Raw genomic sequence first — 19,317 nt, 5'->3', positions numbered from 1 at the left:
TATATGTGCCACATTTTCTTATATATATGTTCACCCCTTCTCCCTGACCAGGCTCAGCAAGGCACTTAGATAGCCAGCCAACTCTTTGGTCTTTCTCTAAGTATCAAAGGTTCTCACAGGGTCAGACTTTTATAGTACTTATAGCTACCAATTACTGTACACCCATCATGCACCAGATACTGGACTAAGTCCAGGACATATAGTATCCTATTCAGTCTGTTCAATAGCTCCATGAGATTGCTAAATTATTATCCCCAACTTACAGAAAAGAAAACCAAGTCACACAGTTAGAAAAGGACAGATCTGGTATTGAAACTGAGCCCCATTATTTCCAAAGCCCATGTCCATTTGTGCTATGCCACATTATCTGAAGCAAGAGTTTTTCAAGCGTGCTGTTGCACAATAGTGGGCGTTCATTGAAGGGATGGCAGTGGGGTGGGAAAGAGGTCATTTTAGGGAAGACTGTTGATGCCACAGTGACCTGAGAAAATGGCATCAGTTCCTTATTTTTTAATGACAACATTCATATTTTATTAAATATAACAAAGCTTCAAACTGCTATATGCATTATTTAGCTTTTTCTGTTTACCTATTTCTTATTTTAAAAATCCCTATATAGTCTCCAAAGTTTATATGATCACTATAACATAGGGACTATTGGATCTCTCACGGAAAGTTGATTTCAGACTCATGGGTACCCACTGTGCAGTGTGGGTAAAATGGATTTACAAACCATTCAGAGTTAGGAAATCCAACCCAGAATTCCACCCATGTAATGCATAATCTAGGCTTTTTCTTCTGGCTATTAAAAAAAGAAAGAAAGAAAGAAAACGTGGCCAAGAGCAGAAAAAGAAAAAAAAAAGTTGAATGGGGACTCAGGAGGAGCCTGCCTGGATATAACAGAGTATAAAAATGAGAGGGAACTTCGGCCGGGTCATTTGTCTGCCTGGGACCATATAGTTTCCAACAACAGATGAATTTTGATTCACTGCTTCTTCTTCTTTTTTTTTTTTTTTTTTTTTTGAGACGGAGTCTTGCTGTGTCACCCAGGCTGGGGTGCAGTGGTGCCATGTCTGCTCACTGCAAGCTCCGCCTCCTGGGTACACACCATTCTCCTGCCTCAGCCTCCCGAGTAGCTGGGACTGCGGGCGCCCGCCACCACGCCTGGCTAATTTTTTGTATTTTTAGTAGAGACAGGGTTTCACCGTGTTAGCCAGGATGGTCTCGATCTCCTGACCTCGTGATCTGCCCGCCTTGGCCTCCCAAAGTGCTGGGATTACAGGCGTGAGCCACAGTGCCCGGCCAATTCACTGCTTCTTTAAGATTCTCCTGTAGCCCATTTTCCAGAAAACAATGATGCTGTATGTATATATGTCACCTCTGGCAATTGCAAGAGCATTTAATGAATTTCACATCACCATTTCCAGTCAGTCTTGATGTTCCATTTTTGTCTAGATGGAAAGAGTAAGAGGGACTATTTCAGATTCTTTGTGTATGAAGATTAAAGGGGACAGGGATATATCAGGCAGGCAGAATCACTCACTTGTCAATCTGTGCAGATGTTCAAAACAGGATATTCTGATTCTTGTCCAATTCAGTGTGAAAATTTACAGAAGCATATTGTTATATTGTTAGAAGGGAAGTTATGAAGCCATCCCAGCCAGTTCTGCTGCAAGCCAGGTGCACACCCAAACTGTAAAAGACAAAGGGATTGGCTGATTGTTTCATCTGCCTTTAAAAAATGCAAGAAACCTGGAGCTTTCTTCATTTTATCATTAAGGTGGGCAAAAAGTGGCCATCGGGGTTATCATAATGGATCCAAAAGAATATACATGGAAGGGCATTATTTAATGAGCTTGGTGGAAGGAAGATTTGGCAGTCTTCGGAAGTTACCTTTATTTTATCCATTTTATTGTCGTGAAAGCTATGACTCAGAGTCATCTTTGCTCTTTGAAAATGAGTCCACACACCTTCTAGAATGTGATACAGTTTATTCTAGGGTGCCAGAGGACTTCTATATACCAGAAACCATTATTTCTCCACGCTTAGTATTTTTGAATGGGAACATGCTGTAATACGTGAAGTTTCTGAATGAAACTCCTAAATAATGAGAATAGAACCTTACTCTTCAAGCCCAAGTTCCCCTGTTTAATCCCATATTCATCTGCTCAATCTCCTCTATGCATACATTTGCTCTTTAAAGTCTTTGCCCATTCTGTTTCCCTCCATCTGCCTAAGTTCTAGCCATGGTACAAGACATAGTAGAAGCCCTTCCTCTTTACAGAAGGCTCATCACCAGATCCCAGGATGGATCTCCCTTCCCTGGAGTTGAGCACTTGCTTGTTCTCACTCTTGTGTTTAGCTTTATCTTGCAAATTAGTTCAGGTATGGCTTCATCTTATGTGCCGATTCAGATTGGGAATGGCCAATTAGAGGAGGATTACAAGGCCACTTACAGAGTTTGTGGGAAGAATGCTGTGATGGATTAGTCGTGTCTCTCTTGGGCATGGCAGCAAGGAATGGAATATTAAGGCTACGTACTCCCTTCTAAAACTAGCTCAGAAGTGCCTAGAAAATAAGAATCTGTTGCCTTGGGTTTTATATCTCATGCATGCCTAATTGCTCTGACCTCATAGGAGAGGTTCAGATCATATTCATTGATTGATGAATATGACCAAAAGGTGCCATTAATACGTTAGGAATAAGATCTAAATGAATCTGGAAAGCAGTATTTTGGTTTTGTCAAGAAACAATATTTCCTTGTATACATATGTAACAAACCTGCACGTTGTGCACATGTACCCTAAAACTTAAAGTATAATAAAAAAAATTAAAAAAATAAAGTACCAGAGAAGTACTATGTATTTTCCTCGGTGAGTCCTGGTCAGCTATTGAGATCATGTGAAATTCCACATGCCACTATACTTAGAACTAGATTTTATTTGTGATATGTCTAGGCCCATCGGAATTTTTCTTATTTCTGTATTTAATCCATGAAAGCAATTGTAAAGTTCATTCTACCAATGTCTAATTTGGGTTTAAATGATATAATTAAAGGAATAAAATAAAATATAAATAAATACATATGTATACATACAGCTACACACACACACATATCTATACATATATATAAATATTATGGCTGATATAAAATTAAAATGAAAAGATTGCAGGGAACCACAGCTAATAAAAACAGTCTATGTGATAAAATGTCATAATTGCTTTAAAACCTATACATCTTCCCTGTATTTCTAGTCTGAACAACTGGATGGTATCAACTTAAGCATCTGTATCCTGATCCCTGTCCAGTTTTAGCAAATTCCAATCACATTTGAGGTTCATTTTCATTTCATAAAGAATAACCACCACCACCACCACCCCAGCCCCCCTATAGTTACAGCACTCACTGCTGAGGTTAATTGCAATTTCAACTTCAACAATTTCTTGAAGCTTAAAGCAAGATATTGTGTGTTTGAAAAGCAAGAGAAATAAATTACAGGAGACCAGAAGGTAGGGTTTACACAGAAGTTACCCTTCCTTTGGACTGCAGAAGGAATAGGCAGGTGCTGGAGCTTAGCTTTCAACCAACACCAGCCTATACGAGAGCATTGAGAAGGAGAAAGCCTTTACCTACCTTGAGCCCCATGTCCTTGGCAAAATGGCGAAAACAAGGCACTTGCACTTAAATGACCCAAGTTAAAAGTTCCTCTTAGGTGTTTGACCTTAGATATATGGTATAGCTGCTCCAAACCCAGATTTCCCCTCTGAAGAAAAGAAAAAAGGGAAGTAATCATTTTTACTTACACCATAAGGTCATGATGGTCAGATGAGAAAATGGAAGTGAAAGGACCTGATGAACTGTCACTGAGGCAAATTAAGTTATTACCATCCAGTGTCATTCAGCTCCACTTGGTTACCCTCGTCTCCAAATAATTTGCCTTAAAACAGACATCATTAACATCTGTCTTCAGTGGTTATTGAGCTCATTTCTGCAGAAAGCACCTGAAGGATGCAGCCCCTGTCTGTAATAGTGGCTTTCTATCCCTAGCTGGGGGAAGCAGAGATAGAGTTTGAAATGACCCACTGGTAAGAACCAGAGATCTTAATGTAAAGAAAATAAATGAGCAAATTTTGGAGAGGGTAAAGGACATGTTAGTTTAGAAATTGGAGAAGGGCTTTTAACCATTCCTGGAATCATACTTGGTAGAGGACCTGCATTTAACTTGACCATGACTGAGGCTACTCAGCACTCTACCATCTTGTCTCAGAGCCTGGTTTAGAACTATTCCCCATGCCCACACAAAAGCAGGTTTTGAGCAACTTCTGGATTTATCATGCAATTTAAAGGGAAAACTGGCATGTAGATGACACATTCTCACTACTACTTTCTGGTCTAGGGATTGTCACTTTATGCCAAATGTCAGCAGACCTATTCCTAAAAATGTCTATATCTATTAAAAGTCATCCATTCATTCAGCAAATATTGATTGTATACCTGTTCTGGAGTCAGCACTGTGTTAGATGACAAGTCAGGAGTGAGCCAGAAGGAAACAGTCACTGTCTCATGGCATCTGCATTCCAGGCCCTCGGAGCCACTGCACACGGAAAAGCCATCGAAGGAAGGGGATCTCCTCCCCACTAGACACATGCACTGCTACAATTTCAAAGAGCGCTGGGTTCTGGACTTCATGGCATCTCAGTTCTTTCCTTCTTACTACTCATCATGTGATTGTTCTCATTTTCTATTTCCTAATCTGTGAAATTAAAGGCCAAAATGAGTTATCTAAGGATCCTTTCAATTCCAGAATAACACAATTTTTTGACTTTAGGAAAATGTGTCTCGGTTTCCATATTTCTAAAAGAGAAATGATGATATTTTCCTTGCTAGTACAACTAGCTGTTTCTGAAATTGAATTCAGATAATATGTGAATGAGTTTTAACAATATAAAGAGTCCATGTAAACTTAAGATTCTACGAAGACTATGATTAGGATATCATCATTAATATGGGACAAAAAAGGGCAGCCTTGCCATTTCCGCTTGAGGACGCAGAATACACTCTGGTCACTTAAACTGAAAGCATGGAGATACCTGCCCCCATGCAGGTGGCTGACGTAGCCTGCAAATATTAAGAACTCTTACTTCTAGAGAAGCTCCCCCACCAAAATGCTGGAGGCCCAGTGCATATATAGTAATAAAGTGGAGAAAAGTCTCAGTTGCCTAATGAGAAAATCATTACCATCTATGTGTGTTCCCTGGAAGCTAGGCTCAAACCAGTTTCTCATTTCTGAAGAATGCTTTTCTCCTTCCCTTTTGCTGCTGCCTGGAGCTTGCTTTTGGAAGGTAATATACCATTGTTTTATTTCTCCTAAGTTTGATAGTCCAGAGTCATGGCTCTGGACTATCATGTATCATGTATGATAGTATTTAATGGCTCACTAAATACTATCAGCAACATTCAGGCCACCTTCGCCATATTTCTATTAATACAGAGTCTCCCTGGAGGCATCAGTGATGATAACTTTGTCCTTGATTCTATCTCACACTCAAGCTTATCCCTGCCCATGTAGCACAGAGTGGTCAAGGCAGCTGATTGCAGATAAGTTCAGTGCACTTTGAGTGACTGTGCTCCTCTCCAAATTGCTTGGCAACAAAATGGCACTAAGGGAATATTTTGTATTTACTGTGACACAATAACAACTGGACTAAAAAGAATATTTTGACTAAGAACAAGGACATTATGCTATCATTTACACAGGGGTTTGCTTTTGGAATTCCTTGGTCAGCTAAAGAAAATGTTATGGCTACTGGTGTTCTTTTATCTGAGCAATTGCAGTAGAACAAATCTTAAAAGCATTTATTGGACTCTGTCTCCCAATTCCCTACACATCACCACCACCAAAAGCTCACAATTGCCAGTCCCATTTGTAAGTGGAGAGAACGTGCAATAGTCAACTCTGAATCTCAGTAGTGTTCTTTAGAAGGGAATCATTTGCAGACCAAGAAACTTGCCAACATAGGGCATGTGCGTCCTGTGTTTTTGTGTGTTGTCTGAACTCAAGTGACCTACTTCACCAACTACCTCTTCAGTAAAGTGAATCCCACTGGGCCAGGCTGTTCATCTCCCATAATTTGCCCTGAAAAGAAACATTGAAATCTCAGATGTATGGGAAACAAGATTGTGCTGCATAGAAATCAGCAATAATGCATCAAATATGCATGTCCAGATTATAACATGAAAATAGACTTCTCACTCATTTCCTCTTATGCATATAAAGCACTGACAATGCACACCACAATGTCAAAACAAGGAAGTGGTGGGCATATTCACGATTTCAGTTCTGTATGTGACAGCTGTATTCCTGGCTACAGTTCAAAGCATAATTCAAATGTGGGCCAGAAATGAGTGATTCAAATAAAGTTTTAAAAGATACAGCATTTGCATCACTTCTCACGTAACCATGTCTTCTTAATGTTAATCACAAACATTAATGAGAAGATGGTGATATCTGATCATTACCTCATATTAAAAGACACCCAGGCACACCCAAGTTTGATCTAGATTTCCATTCCAGTAAAAAGCATGGGAAGGTGTTAGGGTATTTTTTTTTCATGTGTATTCAATTAATAATATAAGACTACTTTCCTGACCAGTAGAAAGTTTTTAAAGTAGCAGAACTAAACACCACCTGATTGTAATTTATATTTCAGAAAAATAATTGTTATGCTTTCTATTCTAGCAAAGGGAAAAATTGTCAGGGGTGAGCAATTGAGCTTTTTGACCACTTGGAATTCATCTTCGTTTTTGCATCGGAGGCTGAAGCAGCCCCAGACCCAGATGTGCAATTGGTTTCTGTTCAACTTCAACTCCTTTGGGGAAATTACACTGAATTGTGTAATTTTTTTCCTGAATGCCCAGATTATATAAACACACCCATTTCATTTTTAATAGCAGAGCTAGGGAAGCCCATTGGGAAAGCATGTTAATACTTTTTTCTCTAAATTGTATTTTGGGGCAAACCTTACACAAAGAAGGATTTAGAGCCTTTTATCACCTCGAGTATGACAACATCTTATATGAGCCACTTTGCAAATACGCATGGCTACGTGTAATGGAAACAATGCACCTTTACTTCCCTTCGCTTTGTACTGCCATATTCGTCTCTTTGATCATGTATGAAGCCTCAAAATAGAAAACTTGCCCAACTTAGTTTTGCATGTTTGTTTACTGACCCTTTAATTTTAGTCATGCAAACTCTAACCCCTTCTCATATGGCTTGAGAGTGGGCTGGCTCTAGGTATGTTACTCCAACCTGGTTTTGAGCAGAAATGGTTATGTTCCACTGGTGAGCACTTAACAGCAGCAAATAGTCAGTGACCAATGAAACTGACCAATCTGTACTTAACAGCAGCAGCTAGTCAATGACCAGTGAAAACTGGCCCGTGTCCATGGTTATGGTTTGTTCTCTAGGCTTCCCAGATGCTGAAGCTTTCTTGAATCCACTTTAAATATTCACATTCAGCTACAGAAAGGAGGACGTGTGGAAAGAGAAGAAAAGAGAGTCTTTTTCTTAACCCTTTGTCAGTGATAAAGCACAGTGATAAAATAAGGTTAGCTTATCCGTGGCACTCTTGGGTTGTTCATGAGAATTGGCAAGGTAGTCACCTTCAATAACAGTTTAGGCTCAGCCTGCAGGGCTACATGGGCTCTTGCATAAATAGGCAAACTTCATGAGATTTACTATGTGAACCAACGTCAGGAGATTTTTATGAAAGACTTAATTACTCTCACAGGTTTAAAGAGTGTTAAATCTGAGATATTTGGTCAAAAGTAAAAATGACAATTAATGAAAATTGCTTGCCACTAGAACCCAAACAAAGGCTTGCTTTGAAAGCATTTGTGTTATCACTGTTTATGTTTTCCCACAATCTGGACCCTTTCTGGAGTTTGCTACCATGTTTGCTAACAGAATGTGTGCTACCAATTAGCAGAATTCTAACCAGTGCTGGGTAAATAACTACATTGTTTGCTGTGGAAATTACCATGAAAGAGTAACCAGGATTGTTTTTCCCAGCTCTGAGAAGAATTACTCAGAGCTCTCTATCTGGTGAAAGACAGCCTGATTTAGGAGAGAGGGCAGTGACTATGGAATTAGATGGGCAATGTAATAACCTCAACATGTAGTCTCAGGTACCTCATCCATAAAATGGTAGTAGTAATAACTATTTCATGGAGTTATTATAAGGATTAAATAAAGTCAGTATATGAAAACTATATACATAATGGACAGAAAGTATTTTTTAGGATTAATTCCTTTTGTTTCCCTGATTCCTAAATAATATCATTTGAGAGTAGAATTCTGCTTTCTTTTTTTTTTTTTTTACTCAGGAGACATACAAATCAAATATATTACTTTTTCCTCTTTGTCCCAGGCCTGCATAAACCTGTTAAAACTACATAAGGAAATGATTGCATCAAAACCAAAGTATAGTCTTCTGTTTCTGGCAAGATGAATAACAAGACGTTTACAGAAAACCCTTCCAGTATGCACTTAAATATGCTAGACCATAGATACGATGACTATGATGATAAAAGATAGATGATAGATAGATAGAAAGATAGAACAGTCAAGTCAGGAAGGATCCATAAATCTCTACTTCACGGAGATAACAAACACTGGCACTAGCATTTTGTGACCAAGGTTTTTGAACTCGAACTATGCACCATGTGGGAGAGAGATGGACCAGAGTTAAGGCCTGGGTGGTGAGTGGAATAGCAGATTGAATCAGCTGTCCTTCACAAAAAACCAGAAAGCTAGGAGTCCAAAGGGTGAAATATAATAGGTGAATTAGGAAAACAAAACAAAACACAGACTGCTTGTTTGTCATGATTCCAGGTGTGGAGGGTACCTGTAGTCTAATTCCTAAGCTTGTGGAAAAAAAAACTGGAGAAAGAGAGACTTCAAAAACTGCTCAAAAAGTCATGAAAGAAACTGTGTGTGAGTGGCGCACACCTATAATCTCAGCACTTTGGGAGGCCGAGGTGGGTGGATCACCTGAGGTCAGGAGTTCGAGACCAGCCTGGTCAACATGGCGAAACCCTGTCTCTACTAAAAATACAAAACTTAGCCAGGCATGCTGTCACATACCTGTAATCCCAGTTAATTGGGAAGTTGAGGCAGGAAACTCACTTGAACCTGGGAGGCAGAGGTTACAGTGAGCTAAGATCACACCACCGCACTCCAGCATGGTTGACAAAGCAAGACTCTGTCTCAAAAGAAGTCAAGAAGAAATATAGAAAAATGAAACAAATACTACAAAACAAAAAAGTTGTAAAAACAAATCCAGATATTTCAGTCAATAAAATCAATCCAACTGTTATTGTCCTCTCCCATTAAAAGACAAAAGTTGTCAAACCAGATTAACCCACATATCCACAATCAGACAAAATCCAGCCAAATGTTGTTTATGGGACACACAAAATGGTTGAACCTAAAGGGTAGAAATTTTGTATTCCAGAAAATGAAGAACCTTCCTTAATATAATAATATCAAAAGACAGAATTAAAGGCAACAAGTAGTATACTAGAGAAAAAGAAGTGTACTGCGTTTTCTTCAAAGTTAACATTCTTCAGGCAACTATAATGTTGAATTTATGTGTACTGAATCACATAGCTCCAAATATTTAAGACAAATTAACAAAATTACAACATATACAGAAATGCACAATTCTAAAATATAGTAGGAAATTTTTGTTTTTAGTAGCATATAGAAATCTAGAACAATGCAAGGAAGAAGGTTGGCCTTATATGGAACACTATTCCAACAACTGGAGTGTAGTTATTTCTCTGAGGGGGACATAGAAACTTTATAAAAATTAATCATGTTCTGGAGCATAAGGTTTCAACAAACGTTGAAGAATCTATTTTGTATACACATGCACTCACATGTTCATCACAGCACTACTTACAATAGTGAAGACATGGCATTAACATAGGTGCCCATCAATGGTGGATTGGATAAAGAAAATGTGTTACACATACATCATGGAATACTTTGCATCCATTAAAAAGAATGAAATCATGTCCTTTGCAGCAACATGGATGTAGCTAGAGGCCATTATCCTAAGCAAATTAATGCAGGAACAGAACCAAATATCACATGCTCTCACTTCCAAGTGGGAGCTAAATGCTGGGTACTCATGAACATAGAAATGGCTACAATGGACATTGGGGATTACTAGAGAGGAGAGAGAGGGATGGGGTCAAAGACTGAAAAATTAACTGTTGGATACTGTGCTCACTACCTGGGTAATGAGATCATTTGTATCTCAAACCTCAGTATCACATAATACACCTATGTAACAAACCTGCACATGTGCCTCCTGAATCTAAAATAAAAGTTGTAATTACTTTTTTAAAAAAGCAGATTTTTGCATGTGAGTGAGTTTTATCAAGTATTCCATTCCAAAGCATGTAAATTATTTTAGATAATAGAAAAAGAGAGAATTTCCCCAAACTTATCTTACAAGGGCAGTATTAACCTTGGATCCAAAACTAAACACAAGCAGTGTAAGAAAATAAAATTACCTATTATTCAAATACTTAGAACATTAACAAGTAAACAGAATGTTAACAAGCCATCCTAAGAATTGGTTTTTTAATTGATAGAGCTAAATTTGGGGTTATCCCTGAAAACAAAATTAGAAAATTGTTCATCATATCAACTTACTAAAGGAGAAAAACTGTGTAATCTCAATAAATATAAAAAAATTATTCTATAAAGTTCTACAACCATTCATGATAAATTTTTAACAAAACTATGAATAGATTGGAACTTCCTTAACCTGATAAAGTATGTCTACAATAGACATAGAGCAAACATCACTCTCAATGGTGAAATATTTTTAAAAGCCCCTTCAAAATTATGAACAAAACAAGGATGCTTGCTATCACAACATAGCATAATATCAGTGTAATTTTGGAAGTTCTAGCCTATAGAAACATGGGATAGAGCATAACTTGTACACCAGGAGACATGCACAAGAATATTCATAGCAACTTTGACTTTCATAGCTGTAAACTGAAAATTACCCAATTATCCTTTGACTTAGAATTGATAAATCAATTGTGATGTCTTTATAAAATGGCCTCCTATATAGGAGGAAAGCAAATGGACCATATCTATGTGTTTGTCCACATGGATGAATACTGTGGAGCAAGAAAGCTAATCACAGAATACACATACTGTAACATTCCATTTATATGCAGTTTATATACAAAGTTTACAAATAGGAGCATTTTAATGTATATTTGGAAAGATATATGTATGTAAATTGTAAAGAAAAGTAAATCATTAACACAAAATTCAAAGTCTTGGTTACATCTGAGGAGAGCATGGGAGGGATGGAATCAGGGAAGGGCTTGTATACAGTTTTCTCTATGTTAAGCTCGTAATAGATACACAGGCATTTATTGTTCTTAGCTAGACTCTACACTCTACATTTTGTATTGTCTGTCATTTCGTAATGTATAAAACAAAACATCATTATGAATGTGGATGGAATACACATTCTTCCTTGATATGTTGTCCTATTTCTCTGTCAAAAGCATCATTTCTCGAAAATTGCCAAAGCCATATGCAGGAAACCTCACAGAGTAATGACTTCAGTATTTTCCTTTTGTGCTTATTTGGTCAAATAAGAATTTGACCAAATTCTCCTATTTTATTTTTCTTCACATTCTTCTGTGTCCACACTTTTACTTATACTGGAATCATAGGTTCATGTCATGCAGCACTCTTAACTATATGCTCAACTTGGTCATCTACAAATTTCTTCCCTGAGCTACTTCCTTGTCTATAAAGCAGAAAATGTAATACCTGCCTCATACTACAGGAGTAAAAATTAAACAAAATGATATCAGCCTGTAATTTAGTGAGCACCAAATAAACATTAACTAATATTGATTAAGAAATGCAATACCTTACGTTGAGTGCAGCGCAATGATGGGCACAAAGTAGACACTGGATAGATCACAGCCACTCTTAGTGTCATGGATCCAGGCCTTGCTTGTTTTACTTTTATCTTGATCTCCTGGAGACAACTGTTCCTACCTGAGGACTGTACTTGTTTCCATGATGCTATTTCCACAGGATACATTCCTTGAGGCAGGTTCTCCAGTTTCCCATCTGTGTGCCTGTACTCACTAATACAGCTCACTGTTGCTGGGGTTCAGAATGTTCACTGGATTGAATCAACCCCTCCGCCCTGCCTTCCTTTAAGGCCATGTATTGACAGTCTGTTTCACAACAATCCTTATCCAATGTCTCAGAGTTCATCATGGGGCCACTCTGGGAGGGTCTCCCGAACTCTGAGCTGTACCTTCCCCCATCTCTTAAGCTGTTTAACCAGCTACTTTGTCCAGTCTGTTATTGTGGATCTTTCTCTTAAATAAAATTCAGTGGGGAAACTTATATAAAAGCTGCTATTACACAAGTGACATATGAGAGATCTTCAAAAATTATTTTTGTTTCACTCCCTGATATGGTTTGGCCGTGTCCCCATCCAAATCTCATCTTGAATTTTTGCTCCCATAATCTCCATGTGCCATAGAAAGGATGTGGTGGGAGGTAATTTAATCATGGGCGTGGTTACCCTCATGCTGTTCTCGTAATAGTGACTGAGTTTCACAAGAGTTGATGGTTTTATAAGGGACTTTGTGCAGCACTTCTTGCTACCACCATGTGAAGAAGGACATGTTTTCTTCCCCTTTGCTTCCCATTCTTCTATGATTGTAAGTTTCCTGAGGTCTCCCCAGCATGCTGAACTGTGAGTCAATTACACCACTTTTCTTTATAAATTACCCAGTCTCAGGTATGTCTTTATTAGCAGCATGAGAACAGACTAATACAGTAAATTAGTATGGTAGAGGTTGTGCCGCTATAAGGATACTTGAAAATGTGGAAGTGACTTTGGAACTGGGTAACAGGCAGAGGTTGGATCAATTTGAAGGACTCAGAAGAAGACAGGAAAATGTGTGAACATTTGGAACTTCCTACACACTTGGAGAGCTCAGGAGACAGGCAGATGTGGGAAAGTTTGGAACTTCCTAGAGACTTGATGAATGGCTTTAACCAAAATGCTAATAGTGATATGGACAATGAATTCCAGGCTGAGATGGTCTCAGATGGAGATGAGGAACTTGTTAGGAACAGGAGTAAAGATGACTCTTGCTATGTAAAGGGACTGGCAGTATTTTACATCTGGCCTAGAGATCTGTGGAACTTTGAACTTGAGAGAGATGATTTAGGGTATCTGGCAAAAGAAATTTCTAAGCAACAAAACATTCAAGAGGAAGCAGACCATAAAAGTTTGGAAATTTTGCAGCATGACGATGCAACAGAAAAGAAAACCCCATTTTCTGGGGATAAATTCAAGCCAGCTGCAGAAATTTGCATAACTAACAAGGCGCCAAATGTTAATCACCCAGACAATGGGTAATATGTCTCCAGGGTAAGTCAGAGACCTTCACTGCAGCCAGCCCCTCCCATCACAGGCCCCAGGCCCAGAGGCATAGGAAGGACACATGGTTTGGTAGGCTAGGCTCAAGGCCCCCACTGCTGTGTGCTGTCTCAAGACTTGATACCTTGTTTTCCAGCTACTCCAGCTATGGCTAAAAGGGGTCAAGGTACAGCTCAGGCTCTTGCTTAAGAGGGTGTAAGCCCCAAGCCTTGGCAGCTTCTATGCGGTGTTGAGCCTGTGGGTACACAGAGATCAAGAATTAAGGTTTGGAAACCTCTGCCTGGATTTCAGAGGATGTATGGAAATGCCTGGATGTCCTGGCAGAAGTTTGCTCCACGGGCAGAGACCTCATACAGAATCTCTGCTAGGGCACTGTGGAAGGGAAATATGGGATCGGAGCCCCCACACAGAGTCCCCACTGGGGCACTGCTTAGTGGTGCTATGAGTAGAGGGGCACTGTCCTACAGACCTCAGAATTGTAGATCCACTGACAGCTTGCACTGTGAGTCTGGAAAAGCCACAGGCACTCAATGCCAGCCCATGAAAGCAGCCAGGAAGTGGGGGGCTGTACTCTACAAAGCCACAGGGGCAGAGCTGCCCAAGGCTGTGGTAGCATCAGTGTCTTGCATCAGTGGGAGCTGTATATAAGACAAGGAGTCAAAGGAGATCACTTTGGAACTTTAAGGTTTAATGACTGCCCTATTGGATTTCAGACTTGCATGAGGCCTGTAGCCCCTTTGTTTTGGCCAATTTCTCCCATTTGGAGGTTGTATTTACCCAATGCCTTTACCCCCATTGTATCTAGAAGTAACTAACTTGCTTTTGAGTTTACAGGCTCATAGGTGGAAGGGACTTGCCTTGTCTCAGATGAGATTTTGGACTTGGACTTCTTAGTTAATGCTGAAATGAGTTAAGACTTTGGGGGACTCTTGAAAGGATATGTTTCTATTTTCAAATGTGAGGACATGAGATTTGGGAGGGGCCAAGGGTGGAATGATATGGTTTGGGTGTGTCTCCATCCAAATCTCATCTTGAATTGTAGTTCCCATAATCCCTGCATGTCATGGGAGGGAATTTGTGGGAGGTAATTTAATCATGGGGACAGTTACCCTTATGCTATTCTCATGATAGTGAGTGAGGTATCATGAGAGCTGATGGTTTTATAAGAGGCTTTTGCTCGGCACTTCTCTCTCCTGCTACCATGTGAAGAAGGACATGTTTTCTTCCCTGTCCACCATGATTATAAGTTTCCTGAGGCCTCTCAGCCATGCTGAACTGTCAAGTCAGTTAAACCTCTTTCCTTTATAAATTACTCAGTATCAATTAGCAGCATGAGAATGGACTAATATACCCCCTCTTAGCCTCACATTCTTTCTATGCATTCAAGCAGTTTGCAGAATTCCAACAATGAATTCTGTAAGAAGAGACATAATAACTTCCCCATGCTCCATTTGGTTTAAACTTGGAGCTCCTGTGACCCTCACTTACCCAATAATTATATTCAAATGATGCAGTAACCCCTTGGACTTCTCATGTTATAAATATTTTATCTTATCTCTTCTTTATGCTTGTTTGTTATTTATTCATTTGCTATGCATTCTTTCTCACTGTGATATAGGATATATGTGTTGTTGTCTTTTGGATTATAAGATCAAATGCATGATCTAGAATATGGTCATAGATGTGCAGATGAGATCACTAGGAAAGATTGTCTTATGACTGTGTCATTAATTTCCCCTGTAATATCCAAGCACTGGAAAGTACTAAAAGCACACATTATGTTCTGTGACTCCCCAACTCCCCCTAAAAAGCCTAAATAAAAATGAGGAATGTTTTCTTTCAATGTGCTACATGTACAGCAAAAGTAAAATCCAAATAAACATTTACAAGAGAAGGCTGAAAACTCAAGACCATCATACCCTGTGGGGAATTTACAATCTAAATATAACAAACATATAGAGTGAGATAGGAGAAAAGAAACGGGATGGTAATGATATTGCTGGTACTAAAGTCTATTCAGGAAATGGAAATATATAGCAAGAGGACTCGGCTACTTCTTGGGCATTGATCAAAGAAAAATACACAAACATATAAAAGGAAAGAAAAGTCGTTTTATTTTATAACATTTTCCTTCTGATTCTAGGTGATTATATAGCTAGTCTACTCTTCCACCCCCAAGATTCTGGGGTATTTTGGCTAATGTTATTTGCAATGTCCATAAACTCAGAAGAAGTTAGTATTAACAGGGATATGAAAGAACCTCCAGTTATTGTGCAAGAAACCTCAAATCCATTTAGGGAGCAGACAGTTCATAGGAATTGTGAAGCAGCTCAGCCATGTTTCTGTGATAGGAAGTAACAATTACTGCAGAAAACTCTAACTTATTTTCTCCTCTTCCACCATCGTTAAAAGCAATCACATTCAAAAAATAAAATTTATTGTGGCAGACACTAAATATGTCTGCTGACCCCAGTTTGCAAGCCTAACAACTCCCATTGCACAGATGAGATATGACTATAGTAGTGATGATTTACCTAGCCAGGGTTGCGCACATTGGGTGGAGATGAGTCTTGGATCCAGATCTGTACACAAAGATGGATTCCATCTGCAACTAGGAAGGAAGGGGGGTGCAGGTGTTTTATGCAAACAATTCTTGCTAACTGGAATAAAACAAATTAGATGAGAAGAATGTAGAAGTTTTGTAAACACTACCAGAGTATTGGGGTCAATAAAAGAGACCAAAAACCTGATTGAATAAAACGTCTTGCTTCCACCTCATTGCATCCTTGTCCATATTGATCAGCTGTAATAGAGCATGACAGAAGGTATTGATTGACTGAGGCAACTCTCAGGTATTTGGAACCTGAAAGCAGCCATAGACTATCAAGAAGGCAATGCTCTATGGAAGCCTAAAATTAGAAAGGTTAAGTGAAAAGGGGGCCTGGGCATAAGGTGTTCAATATCTACATCAATCTGGCAGATGACTTACTTGAAGCAGAATGGGCCTCATTTTCTTCACATATAAGTTACAAATAAACATGTTGGTTATTGTCTTATAAATAGCTGTTGATAAAATGCCTGCTTAAAGTATTTTCCTAGGTTTCTATGATATTGATTTCTAAAACATTCTCAAAAACAGCGAAAGCAGGTCGAATGCACACTTCTACATTTGTTTCCTGCTTACACACACACACACACACACACACACACACACACACACACAGAGAGAGAGAGAGAGAGAGAGAGAGAACAAAAGCAAAGAAGAATGTGAAAGGCATAAATCCACCAAGACATGGAAAATAATAGGAAAGAGGACAGTGCAAAAATTTGGAGAGCTGGAAGGAAATAGATACATTAGCAAGATAATGATATCTGAGCTAAAATAAAGAAGATTATTGGAAAGTTTGAGAAACAATCAGATCCCCACATCCTTTCTTTTACTCTCTATATTCAGGAGACTACCACGCTCACACTCGGGTTGGTGGCTGAATATTTATCCTAAAGAAGGTAGAATAGAGTCTCTGAGAATGGAATTCACCAGTCATATCTGAGAGCAAGGCTCCAGGAGAGACTTCCCCAGGAAGATAAAATTGATAAAATACCAGAATTATGGAGCATGTTCTTTTTTTTGAGACAGAGTCTGGCTTTGTTGCTTAGGCTGGAGTGCAGTGGCACGATTTCAGCTCACTGCAATCTCCACCTCCAACGTTCAAGTGATTCTCATGCCTCAGCCTCCCAAGTAGCTGGGATTACAGGTGAGCACCACCACGCCTGGCTAATTTTGTATTTTTAGTAGAGATGGGGTTTCACCATGTTGGCCAGGCTGGTCTTGAACTCCCAACCTCAGGTGTTCTGCCTGCCTTAACCTCCCAAAGTGCTGGGATTACAGATGTGAGCCACCACGCCAGGCCCTGAATTATGGAACATGTTGAGAGAGAATTTAGACAACTGGTATAGAGTTTGGGGCTGAGTTGGTGATAAGTATTTAAAAACCAAACAAATTAAAGAACAAGATTATCATTGCTTCCCAGAAAAACAATAGTCATGCAGGAAAGGAATTATGATGATAGTTTACTTCATTCTCAGCCTTGGATAGCATTTAAATAGTCAGTGCTGAAGAGTAAACACTAAATATTGATTTAATGAAAATTACTGTATTGAGATGAAAGTAGGGAATGGGAAGGAGAACGTGTGTGATAGAAGTGGAGGGAGGAAAGTTAAATCCTCTGCTTTCATAGTGAGAAGTAGCAATCATTTAGAGATATGGAGAGATATGCCAAAATAATCAGTTAACTAGGTTAGGGAGCAGAAGGAGGGATGTTGTAGGATTTCTTTCTTTCTTTTTTTTGTTTGAGATGAAGCCTTGCTCTGTTGCCCAGGCTGGAGTGCAATGGCATGATCTCGGCTCACTGCCACCTCTGCCTCCTTAGTTCAAGCTATTCTTCTGCCTCAGCCTCCCAAATAGCTCAGATTACAGGCACCTGCCACCATACCTGGCTAATTTTTTTTATTTTTAGTAGAGACAGGGTTTTGCCATGTTGGCCAGGCTGGTCTCAAACTCCTGACCTCAGGTGATCCACCAGCCTCAGCCTCCCAAAGTGCTGGGATTACAGGTGTGAACCACCATGCCCAGCCTTTAGGATTTCTTTATAGCAAACCTTGTAGAGAAGTTTGATTCTTTTAAACTGTAAGCCTGTATATCTTTAAATACACACACACACACACACACACACACACACACAACAGATGGGAAATGCTGGCAAACTGTATAGCATAATAAAGGTTTTCAAACTCATTAATAAAAATAAGATGGAAATATGTGCTAAAAAGCCAAATCAGTGAGAATATTTGACTCAACACCAGAGGTGAGGAGGAACCAAGAATTTGTTTCTCCCCATCTCATCTTTCCTAGCAAACCCACTCTGTCCACATGCTATTGAGGTGATGCCTTCATGTTGAGCTGATGAAATGATGTACCCCAGCTTGGGAATGGTAGGAACCATATGTCTTTGGCCTTCTCAGAGCATTTTTTTAAACAGGTTTTATTTATCCTCCACTCTTGGTTTTATTTCTTTAGGATAATTTTTGATCTTTCAGGTAGCAAAATTATTTTCTGAGAATCATGGCATCATAAAGACTTGAGAAATTCTTGGGCATTTATGAAGTCTAGTAACCTACCTTCTTCAAAATGAATAGGGTATATATATGCCTTTTTCTTAAAAAGGCTGAGGTGGAGGAGGGAAGAGTAAATTGCTCATGTACCCTAGTAACTTACATTATATGATGTTTTATGGTCTTCATTATGGAGCTCTATGGGTTTTGGCTTTTTAACTGACAAGTACAAAATGTATATGTTAGTACAGCATGATATTTTGATATATATATATAAAACAGAATGGCTAAGTCAAGCCAACTAACATGTATTATCTCACAGTTACCATTTTTTGTGGCGAGAATGCTTAAAATATACTTTCTTAGCAATTCCCAAGGATGCAATGTATTGTTATTAACTGTAGTTACCATGTTGTACAATGGATCTCTTAGATTTATTTCTCCTGTTAAATTAAATTTTTTATCATTTGACCAGTATCTCCTCAACCCCTCCACCCCCTAGCCTCTGGTAACTGTTACCTTTTTACTCTCTACTTCTATGAATTTCCATTTTTTTAATTCCACAAATAAGAGAGATCATGCAGTATTTATCTTTCTGTGGCTGTCCTATTTTACTTAATGCAATGTCCTCCAGGTTCATCCACATTATTGCAAATGACAGGATCTTCTTTTTTAAAGACAAAT

At 38.9% G+C, this 19,317-nt stretch overlaps 1 protein-coding gene and 1 long non-coding RNA gene across 13 annotated transcripts in view; one reads left to right on the top strand and one right to left on the bottom strand.

The window, feature by feature from the left end:
- LOC105375724 (uncharacterized) overlaps positions 1-4,582 on the bottom strand; it is a 141,651-nt gene extending 137,069 nt beyond the window's left edge. For 2 of the 6 annotated variants that reach the window (XR_001746062.2, XR_007061073.1), the window contains exons 1-2: positions 3,635-3,847; positions 1,544-1,693 (exon numbers count right to left, since the gene is read on the bottom strand). This is a non-coding gene — a long non-coding RNA (uncharacterized LOC105375724). Of the gene's footprint in view, positions 1-1,237; positions 1,452-1,543; positions 1,694-3,634; positions 3,848-4,495 lie in introns of those variants that run through there. The other 4 variants (XR_001746056.2, XR_001746057.2, XR_001746063.3 and 1 more) reach the window with 4 other exon arrangements.
- Positions 1-19,317, top strand: part of SAMD12 (sterile alpha motif domain containing 12) — a 490,139-nt gene that overhangs the window by 335,999 nt on the left and 134,823 nt on the right. The window lies entirely within an intron of this gene.

The sequence above is a fragment of the Homo sapiens genome, chromosome 8 (assembly GCF_000001405.40).
Source record: "Homo sapiens chromosome 8, GRCh38.p14 Primary Assembly".
Taxonomy (NCBI): domain Eukaryota; kingdom Metazoa; phylum Chordata; class Mammalia; order Primates; family Hominidae; genus Homo; species Homo sapiens.
The sequence above is the reverse complement of the archived record's forward strand: the minus strand, read 5'-3'. Positions and strand labels throughout refer to the sequence as shown.